General features: G+C 40.3%; 1 protein-coding gene across 36 annotated transcripts in view; it reads right to left on the bottom strand.

Moving 5' to 3' along the window:
- CAMTA1 (calmodulin binding transcription activator 1) overlaps nucleotides 1-13,655 on the bottom strand; it is a 984,253-nt gene that overhangs the window by 903,064 nt on the left and 67,534 nt on the right. For 4 of the 36 annotated variants that reach the window (XR_001737064.2, XR_001737062.2, XR_007057950.1 and 1 more), the window contains exon 4: nucleotides 13,454-13,591. The exons of the other annotated variants lie outside the window; for them this stretch is intronic. Coding sequence is in view for 1 of the 4 variants with exons in the window: in XM_017000781.2 (XP_016856270.1) it covers nucleotides 13,454-13,591 (138 nt within the window). In the remaining 3 variants the exon portion in view is untranslated. The remainder of the gene's footprint in view (nucleotides 1-13,453; nucleotides 13,592-13,655) is intronic. 36 annotated transcript variants of the gene reach the window in all.

The raw sequence follows: 13,655 nt of genomic DNA, 5'->3' as shown, positions 1-13,655 counted from the left end.
TTTCTTCCGATTGGCCTGCTGCATTGCACCAACTCTATCATAGTCTAGACCCACTCATTTCTCGTGCTACCCCACTACCCACTAGGGAAAAATGATCATAAAATACAAATCAAATTCCTCCCAAACACAAATAATATAAAAAGTAAAACAACAGGGAGACAAATTCACCGACTGTTGATTTTATTTCCACATTACTTGTTTTTAAACTTACTAGCCAGGCATACCAGGGTTCACTTTCATCTTTCCACTGGCTTCCTGTAGGGCAGTCTGGATCATCAAGGAGTTGACATTTCCCATTCCCTCTATTCACTGATTCTCAAACTTCAGAATGAAAAAGAATCCACTATCTAAATAACATCACTTGCAAAAATGTTTTCTAAGTCCTACCCCTAAGAGATTATAATGTGGGGTACCAAAGAAGTGGTTAAGGAATTTACGTTTTTGATAAATCTTCCAGGTGAGTCTGATTACAAGTTCACAATTCTCACTTTAAGATAAATACTGCCCAGATGGGTCTAACTTCAAACTTCATCCTCCAGTCCCAACATATACCCTCTCTCCTCAACACAGGCACCAAGTCACAGATGTCAAAGCTGCTAAAATGTGAATAAAGAAACAAATTCAAGTTGATAATAGCTTAAGGTAATCGTCCCTCTAAAGACTATTACATTTTTTTAAATGCCAAGATACCTAAAAAGTCTTTACAACTTTAAAGAATAAAGCCACACTGGAAGATGGGGTAGCTACACAGAATGTAAGGAGTCCTTTCTGGGCTTTAAAATCACGCCGTCCTTGAACCTGGGTTCAGGTTATAGCTCTCCCACTTACTACTTCTGTGCCTTGGACAAAGTATTTAATTTTTCAACTAAGGTCTCACTTTCTTCATTTACAACATGAGAACAGTAACATCCCTACCTCACAGAGTTGCTGTGAGAATAAACAAAAATAATTAATGTAACTACTTAGGCTAGTACTCAGGACCTCAAAGGCAAAAACCATTAGTTCTGTGATTACTATGATTATACTGATCCTCTTACATTCCTTTTCTTAGCTGATTCTTTCCACAACTTACAAGGGAGACAATGCTGCCCACATTTTTGCAGACGGGTAGAGGTTAAGCTCAAGAGTGCAGATCTTAAAAATGGTAGAGCCAGAATTCAAACTAAATCCGCCCAAATCTATCCTAACCACAACTGGAAATGCTGAAGGATCTATAAGTTTCTCCCTCTCCCTCAACAGGCTCACTCACAAGCCCTCATAACCCCACACTCTGCACTAGGCCTGGCAGACCCAGGTTCCCAGTAACTGTCTGGTGAATGAGAGAATGAATGAATGGGCCCTCAGGAGTGGCAGAGGCTGAACACACTTTCTAGATCCACTACTGTACCCACCACAGCACCTTATGTGACAGATTTAAAAGAATACATGTGGGATTTAAATCAATGGACTAAGAAAAATAAATTCAAGTACTTTTTTGCATACTGGCATGCTAAAAATGAAGAGTGTTTTCCATTCAAAAGATAAAATCCACCCATTCAGGCTGGGCACGGTGGCTCACACCTGTAATTCTAGCACTTTGGGAGGCCAAGGAGGGAAGACTGCTTGAGCCCAGAAGTTTCAGACCAGCCTGGGCCACATAGTGAGACCCCATTTCTATTAAAAATGTTTTAATTTTTAAAAAATTTCACCCAGTCAACAAATACTTATCAAGCATCCACTCTGGCACAGGCTCAGTACAGGTAACAGGGACACACAGTGACATGCCGAGGCACGTCTCAGCCTTGTCCACCCCAGCACTGAGGAACAATTCCGACATAGAACAAGTAACTCCCAGCATCAGGGGTACAGTGTGGCATGCTCCAGAAACACCCAGCAAGAGTGCCCCATGGACCCTGCAAGTGGATGGGAAATGTCCCCTGAAGAAACAACATGTAAATGGCATGTAAGCTGGGGTCCCAAGGGAACCAAGGTGGAGGGCGACCATCATTCTAAGCAGAGGCAACGACATGTCTAAGGGAGCTGAGAGTGTTGAAGGGACTCGGGCAAGAAACCGGTGGCTGGAACAGAGGACAAGGCGAGAGGGGCTTGGCAGGAGATGAGAGAGGTGACAAGAGACGAGCTTAAGCAGGCCTGGCAGACTGTGTCTAGAAGGTGGGGTGGTATCTCAAGTACAACAAGAAGCCGCTCAAAGGCTTGGGAACAAGAGTACCACTGACCAACTGGCATTTGAAAAGGACCACATTGGCATCTGGGTGGAGACTGGGCTGGAGAAGGCAAGGGCACAAGCAGGGCATGAGTCAGAAGATCGCTCAATACCGTCTGCGCACAGGCAATTGTGGCTTGGACTGCAGCAGTGGCTGCAAAGAGTGACTTGGACAGAATGGAAATTTATTTGGGAAAAAGAACCAGCAGGAATTGTTTTGGATTCAAAACAGATAAAAAGAAGAGGAAAGTGTCAAAAATGTCAGTAATTTTACAGTGAAGAAATCTAACAAACACTACCTCAGCCAGGTGATCAAGGTTAATATCATCAGTAGTAAATCATGTTGAGAGCAGGTACCCTTGATATGATGTGATGAGAATGGTACTTTGCCGCTGTGGTCTTCCTTCCCCAAAACCCATTATCCAAGTCTAATCACGAGAAAAACAGTAGACAAATCCAAATTGAAGAACACTGTATAAAATACTTAGTCTGTCAAGGTCAACAAAAACAAGAAGAAATCTAACAAACTGTCAGTCTAATGGAGCCTAAGAAGATATATGACAACTAGATGTAACGTGGCATCCTGAATGGGATTCTGAAAAAGAACAAGACTTTAGGGGAAAATTAAGGAAATCTGAATGAAGTGTAGAGTTCAGTGTAAATAATGTGTTGGTACTGGTTCACTGGTGTGAAACATGTACCACAGTAATGTTAGCAGGGGAAACAGGTGTGGAGTGCACAGGAACTCTCCTTAATATTCTTCAGACATTTCTATAACTCTGAAACTATCCTAAATTAAAAAGTTTACTTTAAAACTGATCCCTGAAATTTGACTTGATCGCCTGGGAGGCTCAAGTACCCTTCACTGAGAACACGGAAGGGGACGTGGGAGGAAAATCATGAAGCTCTATCTCAGACATGAGGCTGGAGCACCCATCAGACACTCAGCATAGACAGCAAGGAGGCAGCTCTGGAGTGGGGCTCAGCAAAGAGCTCTGACCTCATGAAACAAACCTAGGAGCCATCAGCAGATTGGATCTCTGTAAGCAGATGGGGGTCACCTAGAATAAGAAGGAATATAGAGAAGGGCCTGAACTCACAGGGGTTGGGGAGGGAATGGGGAGATGGTGGTCAAAGGGTATAAACTTTTGGTTATAAGATGAATATTTTCTGGGGCTGTAATGTACAGCACGGTGACTACAGCTAATAATACTGTATTGTTTATTTGAAATTTGCTAAGCAAATTAATAAGCAGATCTTAAGTGTCCTCACTCCTCTCCTCCACCATACACACACAGTAAAACACCGTATAGTGAGGGACGTGCTGGTTGATTGTGCTAATCATTACACAATGTACACACACATCAAATTACATTGTATACTTTGAACATATACACCTTTTACTTGTCAATTATACCTCAACAAAGCTGGGGGAAAGTTTATCATTTCCTTCAGAAACAAATTAGTGTAATTCTGATGATTTATATTCTTGTCACCTTTTTTCCCGAAGAAAATAGTTATCTTTTTTGGGTAAAAGATGAGATTATTTGATTAAGCTTTTTTGACTCTCTTCTTTCCAAAACAAGGGAAAAGAAAAGAGCCTCGCTCTAATTGCTGAGAAATACCCACATTTAATGGTCACAGACAGAAGGCCCAGGGTCAAGCTCTGGGGAAATTCCACCTTTAAATGATGCGAGAGGAGGGTCACAAAGGAAATCTCCTAAGTGGGAGAGAAACAGGGGGCATGCACCATCCCAAGAGCCAAGGGAGGATGGCACAGCCAAAGTGGGTGAGTATGTCTGAAAAATCATTAAAAAGGAAAAATGTTCCTTCTACTTAATAGTGATCTAAGAAAGAAGGTTTGGCGGAATAATGGAAGCTAAATTCAAATTGGAATAGTTAAAAAATGAAAGAAAAAAAACAAAACTCTTTCAAGACGTCTGGCTCTCAGATTTTACACCTATGTTCATGGCATTATTCAAAATACCCAAAGGCTGAAACAACCCATGCACCCATGGATGGATGAACAAATCAACAAAATGTGGTGTGCACATAACGAATTCAGCCTTTAAAGGGCAGGAAAGGCTAACACATGCTCCAACATGGACGAACCTTGATGATATAAGGCTAAATGAAATAGACCAGTCACAAAAAAAGACAAATACTAGGCTGGGCGTGGTGGCTCACGCCTGCAATCCTAGCACTTTGGGAGGCCGAGGCAGGTGGAACACCTGAAGTCAGGAGTTTGAGACCAGCCTGGCCAACCATGGCCAACATGGTGAAATCCTGTCTCTACTAAAAATATAAAAAGTAGCCAGGCATTGTGGCAGAAGCCTGTAATCCCAGCTACTCAGGAGGCTGAGGCAGGAGAATAGCTTGAACCCGGGAGGCAGGGGTTGCAGTGAGCCAAGATTGCACCACTGCACTCCAGCCTGGGTGACAGAGTAAGACTCCGTCTCAAAAAAAAAAAAAAAAGACAAATACTATATGACTTCACTTTATGAGGTACTTAGAATAGTCAAATTCATACAGACAGACAGTAAAAGGGTGGTTGCCGGGGGCGAGGGGTAGGGAGAATGGGGAGTTACTGTTGACTGGGTACAGAGTTTCGGTTTTACAAGATGAGAAGAGTTCTGGAGATGGATGGTGCTGATGGTTGCACAGCAATGTGAATGTTTAAATGGTTAAGACAACAAATTTTATATATGTATATTTTACCACAATTAAAAATTTTTTAAAGCAGTTTGGCCAATCCATATCAAGCTACAATGACGTGTCATGAGAAAATTTTAAAGTTGAAGAACATTAGCCTACAGCAGCACTTCCTAAACACTTCCCTACTGACATGCAGTTCAATGTAAATGGGTTACACGTGCCTTGTGAGGGGAACTAAGCCACGCTAACCCCTGACCAGTGGTTTCTGACCTCAAGGATACTCATTCATTCTCCAGTACGTCCTACAAATATTCTTATTTTTAATGTGTTCTAAGATGTGAGAAGTCATGGCTGAAGAAGTATGGGTTAGAGATCATTTCAATTCCATCTCAGTGACAAGAAAAGTTGCTTTAGTTTTCGTTAACCTACAACTTCTGCTGCCAAAGGACAAAAAAGATGATGTGATCTTACTGAAACCAGTAACAGAGATGTTAGACAAATGAATCTCTACTGTAAAGTCACACTCCATGGCCAGGCGCAGTGGCTCATGCCTGTAATCCCAGAACTTTGGGAGGCCAAGGCGGGCGGATCGCTTGAGGTCAGGAGTTCAAGAACAGCCTGGACAACGAGGTGAAACCCCATCTCTACCAACAACACAAAAATTAGCCGGGCGTGGTGGCATGTGCCTGCTACTTGGGAGGCTGAGCCACGAGAATCACTTGAACCCGGGAGGTGGAGGTTGCAGTGAGTTGAGATTACACCACTGCACTCCAGCCTGGGTGACAGGGCAAGACTCTGACCCAAAAAAAAAAAAAAAAAAGTAAGTCACACTCCACTTCTGACAGTTTTTTGGTTTTTTTGTTTTGTTTTTTTGAGATGGAGTCTCACTCTGTCACCCAGGCTGGAGGGCAATGACACAATCTGGGGTCACTACAACTTCTGCCTCCCGGGTTCAAGCAGTTCTCCCACCTCAGCCTCCCAAGTAGCTGGGATTACAGGCATGCACCACCACGCCAGGCTAATTTTTTGTATTTTTAGTAGAGATGGGGTTTCACCATGTTGGCCAGGCTGGTCTTGAACTCCTGACCTCCAAGTAATCCGCCCACCTCGACTTCCCAAAGTGCTGAGATTACGGGTGTGAGTCATTGCGCCCGGCCCTGATAGACCTTTAAGAACAGAATAGGAGCAATACTTTCCTCTTTACAATATGTTAGAATGACAAAAACTAAATCAGTGTATAAGGAAAGAAAAAACAATGTGGTAATTTTGTAGGCACAGAATAAACAGATCAATGAACAAGGAGTTCAGGTAAAAAACCACATATTTGTGGAAACTTAGCACATGGTAATGGCAACATCTCAAATCAGTAGAAAATGATCAATGACTCAATAATAACCATCTTATTTGGAGAAAAATGAAATTAGAGCTCTAACTCATCCCATTCACATATAAAAAAAGTTCAGCTATATTAAACATCTAAGGATAAAAATTCAAAACAAAGAAGAAAATCTAGGGAGAATACTTAATTACTGGTGTGGGAAAGACCAAGTACACATGCCATCAAGGCCAAAAAGATTCAGAGTTTGGGAGCATGACTCATAGGATTGGCATGAGGACATAATGAGTTAAGAAAACTAAGACTGAAATACAGATGACTAAAGGGAGAAATATTATACATACTTCTTTTAAAAGAAAAACAGAAATCAGAAAGAAAAAGAACGAAGAACCTACTAGAAAAAAAGACTGAAGACTATTATAAAAAGTAACATATCCAAAAAAATAGCATAAATGGTCAAACCATGCTAAATTGCAGGAATATACAAAGAAATGTAAATTAAAAGGAGATCTGAGTCTTCTACCTGTTGGGCTGAGAAAGGATTTAAAAGACTGACAACACTTACCATTGGTAAGGGTTTGGGGAAATGGATGCTCTCACTTTTAGCTAATGAGAGTCCAAATTGGTATTCTACAACATTTCTTTTCTTTTCTTTTTTTTGAGACACGGACTTACTCTGTTGCACAGGCTGGGGTGCACTCGCACGATCACAGCTCACTGCAGCCTCGACTTCCTGGGCTCAAGTGATCCTCCCACCTTAGCTTCCCGAGCAGCTGGGACCACAGGAACGCACAACCATGCCCAGCTAATTTTGTTTATTTTGTGTAAAGCCAGGTCTCCCTATGTTGCCCAGGCTGGTCTTGAACTCCTGGGCTCAAGTGATCCTTCTGCCCAGACCTTTCAAACTGCTGGAATTACAGGAGTGGCCACTGCACCTGGCCTGGTACAACATTTCTAAGGGCATATGTCAAATATTTACACTCTGACAAGCACTTCTGTCCTAGAACATAACTGGAGATGTTAAGTGCATCACTTATTGTAAGAGCAAAATATGACGACAACCAATAAGGGATTGGCTGAAAACTTTTTATGGCATACCCGTGCTATGTCTTTATGCACACACATACCCACACACAGGCACTGACACAAAAATGTCCACAACATGGTGTATAAATGGGGAGGAAAAAACAGGGAAGCTGTATATGATTCCTCTTGTATGTACACTCAAACATATATACATACAACACACACGCGATTTACACAAGCATTTGTAAAGTCCAAAAAAGGATATAAATCAAATTGCTCACAATGGTTATCTCCTAGGATGTACAATTTTAGGATAAAATCAGTTTATAATCTCTACACTCCTGTTATTAGAATTTTTCAAAGACCATTTATTACTTTTATAAGTATATATTTTACATACACTGTTGTAATAAAATATAATAAGATAATTTCTATGGGAGGGGACAGCAATCTATGGCAAAAAGGACATAATGATTTGTATGTTCCCTTTCTTCATTAATATGTAAAGTCCTTTAACTATAAGGCAGCTTCCAGTTATGACTGAATGGTCTTAAAACATCCATATTATTTTTTTAGACAAAGGAATGCTCTATACTGCACAGTCAGAAGTTAGATCTTCCTGAGTTATGGCAAAGTTACGACACTGGGGTCCTCATATAAAAGCATAAGACTCAGCAAATAGAGGACAATCTTCTTCACGCATGCATAAATTAGAAGGAGCTACAGCCTGTCAATACGATTTCAGACACACAAAATCATTGTGAGGCTAAACTTAGCAGAGACCCATGAAAATACCCACTATAGGATCAGACCAATTAACTGATCAAAAGAGTAGCTGCAAGAAATTTAACTTATTTAATATATAACCACACCAGTATAATGCCGGCTAAACTGGTTTCTGTAATGGGCATAAAACAATCACAACACCCCCCCCCCAACACACACACACACACCACCACCACCACCACCACCACCACCACACACACCACTTTAAGGATAATGCTGAAAAGACAGGTTGTAACAGAACCTCAATATACAAAGTGATATGTAATCTCAATTTTATTGTAATAATACTGAAAACAGTCACTTCTTAAGTGGGTAATGTCCCTAAGGATAAGTAGTTCTGTAAACTATATTACTGTGTCTAAGAAACATACAGTAAACAAAATGAATGCCATGAAACAAAGCTAATTCAAAGAATTCAAAATACAATTGAACAGTTAAAATCCTTTAAAAGCAAAAACAACTGTAATTTGAATTGGAGATATCAGTACTAACATCCCTACAATATGTCTTCATTTATGACTGGCCTATCTTTCTTTCTTCAGTATCCCACTCCTCATTCCTTCCCATTCCTGGGATCCTGAATCATTAATTCATTCGCACAGCAATTCTTTATTGAGCATTTACTATGTGCCAGGCACCATTCTAAACTGGAGATGCAGCAGTGAGTAAAACTAAAATCTCTGCCCTGGCATATCTTGCATTCTAGTGGCATCAAATCCATCAGTGCCACCCACAACATAAAATTACATCCTTCTGGCCGTCCCACCTCAACATCCCTAGATCTCCCCATTAATAGGCTTTTTTTTTCTTTTTACAGTGCACTCGGCACATGATTTGATTTTCAGTGTCCCCACTTTAGAACATTAAGCTCCAGAAGACAGGAATGTTTTTTATGTTTTGTATGTTCCAAGAGCTTAGAGTATTGCCTGTCATACAGACATTCAAATATTTGTTGAGTTAACGAATGCCTTCTCTTCCCTCTATGGTCTAGCTCTCTCTCCCAATGAAAGTTGCTCACATCTATCCTACTCTGTAAACAAAACACATGTCCTTGTCCTACAGCCCGACCCTACCTTGCCTGCTACTTTCTGGCTTCTTTGAAGATGCAGAACTGCAGTAGTCTGTAGCAACTATCTCCACCTCTTCACTTTCACTGCAACTGCTTTGGTTTTGTTTGTTTGGTCACCAAAGCCTTCTTCATCTGCAAATCCAAACTTATTTTACTTTTTTAATTGAACAAGTAATTCGTATTCACTACAAAAGTACACAGAAAATGGCATCACATGCCATGTAATGACTTAAGCCAGAAACCTGGGAGTTATTCTCAATGTCTCCCTGTCTCTCCCAGCCCACACTCAATCCATCACCAGTTCTGAATGACTCTATTTCCAAACCCCATCTCCAAGCCATCCAGTTATCTCCAGCTCCACTGCTGGGCCTTGGCGCCACCTCCACCGTTAACTTTCACTGGATTCCTGCAAATTGCACCCAGTGGTCTCTCAACTTCCATTCTTGCCTCCAATCCCCTGACCACTCAGCACCCCACACGGTGGCTGTAAATAGCAAAACAGTCCAAGAATCTCCTATTTCAGACCTCTATCACGGGCAACCCTTCACAGGGACACCCTAGTTTCCAAGGTGGCCTATGGCTGTGAGTAGCATGACCCCTGCTGTGGCCTCTTCTCCTGCCACTCTCTACCTCCCCCTACCCTCTAGAGACCTCCCACTCCTCACTTCAGACATGCCGAGCTCTTCCCATCATGAAGTCTGCCCGCAAGCCTCCCCTCCATCTAGATCATTCTTCTCTGATCACTCATCTCACCAAGCTAACCTCCTCCTCATCACTTTCATCATAAAAATATCACTTTCTAAGAGAAGTCTGCCCTGGCTTCTCATCTGAATTACATTGTCCTCTCTTGTAGCAGCCTGTATTTTTCCTTCTTACACCCTTTATAGCACTGTGTAAGTATGTACCCATTCTTATAATTAATTATCTGCTCAATGGCTGTCTCCCTTTGAAAGCAAGATTTTATCTTGATCCATCTATCTATCCATACATCCATCCCATCTATCTAACCAATCTATTTAATCTATCCATCTATCCCCCCAGTGACTAGAATAGTGCCTGGCACAAAAGAGCTCAGATGAATGACTGACTGTCCTATCAGCCTATAAACTGCAAAAACAAGTTCAATGTCTATTTTGTCTGCTGTTATGTATCTCGTAACAAACACATTGTCTGGAATAGAGAAAATACTCAACATTCATTAAATAAATGCTGAATGAATACCAAAAAAAAAAAAAAGCGGCAGGGGGAAGCATCATAATTCTATCTGTCACAGAGAAAAAAAAAAAAAAACACTGGTTCCATCTTGGCCATCTTGATATATACAGCCTTCCAGATTGCTCTACATTGTGTTAATTGTATGGCGTCCAGCTCCTGCAACGCAGGTGGCTTCTCCAGTACCCATCTCTACAAGCACCTGCAGCTGCTCCAGCCTCCAGAGACTACAGCACACAACAGCAGGCCATACCCAGCAGCCAGCAGCTCCCCCCAGCATCCCACTCTGGAGGTTTTGTAGCAGGGTACCTCCAGTGAGACACCTCCCCATGAAGAGCTTTTGTGTGGCGCCCTAGTGAGCAACTTCTGGCAGGTATCAGAGGGTGGATTTCCATTAAGTTCCACTAGTATGACATGCCAGCAACTTCTTGGCCATGCAGTAAACCAGCCATGCCCTCTCTGGATGAGGTCTGGATCTTGGTCCTGGGGGAAGGAGAGACTCTTCCTTGCAGACTCTACCTCAGCCCCAGGGGCAGCAGTTGCTCTGTTTATCTGCTATTTTCATATTCTTTACAATTCTCTTCACTTTTCACTAGCCTAACCAAATCCCTCCTTACTTCGATTCCCTGTTATAATTAGTAATTATCCACATTAAACGCTGCTTTCAATTTACTGGTGATGAAGTTTGAATCTGTGTCCACACCCAAATCTCATGTCCACACTGTAATCTCCAGTGCTGGAGGTGGGGCCTGGTGGGAGGTGACTGGATCATGGGGGTGCACCTTCACGAATGGCTTAGCACCGTCCCTTTGGTACTGTTCTCATGATTGAGTTCTCAGGAGATCCGACTGTTTAAAAGTGTGTAGCACCTCCCCTCCTCTCTCTCTCTCTTGCTCCTGCTCTGGCGATGTAAGACAAGCCTGCTTCCCCTTCTCCTTCTGCCATGATTGTAAGTTTCCTGAGGCCTCCCCCAGAATCCAAGCAGATGCCGGCACCATGCTTCCTGAACCGCCTGTGGAACCATGAACAAATTAAACCTCTTTTCTTTATAAATCACCCAGTCTTGGGTATTTCTTTATAGCCCTATGAGGACAAACTAATACAACTGGTTTCTCTCTCCTGATTGGATCCAGATTGATACAAATTTGGAATTTGTGTTTGTTGTTGGCATATAAAATTGCAATTGTGTCCAGAATTACCTTGAATCTTGCAACCTAGCTTATTATTTATAATAAGTTATAAAGAGGTTTTTTTTAATTTTCTACATATACAATCATGTCATCTACAAAATCACAGTTTTATTCTTCCCTTTCTCATCCCTGTACTATTTTTCTTGCCATACTCAACTAGGTAGGACTTCCAGTAAAATAATAAACAGAATTGGTGACAGTGAAAACAACTTCTCTTTCCCTGTCTCAAAAGAAAACTTCCAACATTTCACCAGTAAACATGGTGTTTGCTATAGGATTTTTCTGAGTAATCTTTATCAAATTAAGGAAGTTAACTTTCATTCATAATGTATTAAGAGATTCCATTTTGAATGGGTATTGGATTTTGCCAAAGGCAATTTTTGCACCTCTGACATTATCACATGATTTTTCTGCTCTACTCTATTAATTTAGTGATTTATACTGATCAATTTTTCAAATATTAAACCTGTCTTTGTAAGTATGATATTCTGAATTTAGTCTTTCGAAATCTGTTGAGATTTACTCTATAAATCAACAATTTTGATCAATGTTCCCTATGCATATGAAAAGAATGTACAGTCTACAGTTATTGGGTGCAGTGTTGTATTTCATATTTCATTATATTCCATATTTCATTTTGAATGTATCTTATTTTCAACAGTCTTTTGTTGCTTAACAACAGGGATACATTCTGAGAAATGCATCACTAGGCTATTTCATCATTGTGCAAAGATGACAATGTACTTACACAAACGTACTTACACAAAGATGTACTTACAAAAACCTAGATAGTACAACCTTCCACATTCCTAAGCCATATGGTATATCCTATTGCCCCTGGGCTATGAATCTGCGTATTATTGTACTGAATATTGCAAGCAACTGTGACACGATAGGTATCTGTATCTAAACACATATAAACATAGAAACAGTAATGTGTTACACTATGACACTATGACATCCCTACGAGACAGGAATTTTCCAGTTCCAATAAAATCTTATGAGACCAGCATCATATATTTAGTCAGTCCCTTGTTGACTGAAACATCGTTATGAAGCACAGGACAGTAGTACGTCTAGATTACACATAAACCCACTGAGATTTCAATTAGGTCAAGTTTGTTCATTATGTTATGGAAATCTTCTATGTCCTTACTGATACTTTGTTTCTGAGTTAATGAAGACGGTATATTAAAACTTTCCACTATGAATTGCAGATTTGTCTGTTCTTTGTCATTTTTGTTAATTCTTGCTTTATGTATTTTGAGATAGTGTTTTTAGGTACATACAGAGGTAGAACTGTTGTAACTTCCTGGAGAACTGAATTGAGTATTTTACCATTATGTATGTCTTTATCCCAAGCAATTATTTCTACCCTAAAGCCCACTTTGTTAATAAAGGTACACCAGTTTTCTTTTAATGTTTGAGTAATATGGCTTTTCTACCATTTTATTTTCAACTTTTCTACATCCTTGAAAGCGGTACAGAGTTGTGATCTGCTTTGATTTTTTATCCAATTTCCCAATCTTTGCTTTTTAATTAGAAATTTTGGTTCATTTTTATTTAATATAATTACTGATAGACTAAGTTTAAATCTAACAACTTACTGTTCACTTCCTATTTTTCCCACATGCTCTGTTTCTGTTTTTGGTCGTCTTGCCTTCTTTCAGATTAATCAAGTTTTACTACTACTACTGCTGTTACTATTCCATATTTCCCCTCTATTAATTTGTTAATTACATATATTTTACTACTCTTTTAATGACTATCTTAGAGATTACAACATGTGTCCTTGACTTATCAAAGTCTCAAGTAAATTAATATTTTTACCACTTCCTGGGCAATGAAAAGACCGTAAGATATTAACTTTTATTTAACACCCCCACAACTTATATGCTACTACTATATTTTTAAATTCTATGTGTATTTTAAACCACAAATAATTATTTTACCCAACAGTGTTCATTTACATTTACCATCTTATTTCTCCTTTCTTTGGTCTTCACTTTTCCACGCATCTTAAAGCTGCCATGCAGGATCATTTCTCTTCTGCCAAAGACCAATCTTTCTATTATTCCCTTTAGTGCAGGTCTGGTGTAATTAACTCTGTGATACTGTGATATAATAAGAAACATATATTTGGTCTTCATTTCAAGTTCCTGGCATTGAGCCCTGAAA

This window comes from Homo sapiens, chromosome 1 (assembly GCF_000001405.40).
Source record: "Homo sapiens chromosome 1, GRCh38.p14 Primary Assembly".
Taxonomy (NCBI): Eukaryota; Metazoa; Chordata; class Mammalia; order Primates; family Hominidae; genus Homo; species Homo sapiens.
The sequence above is the reverse complement of the archived record's forward strand: the minus strand, read 5'-3'. Positions and strand labels throughout refer to the sequence as shown.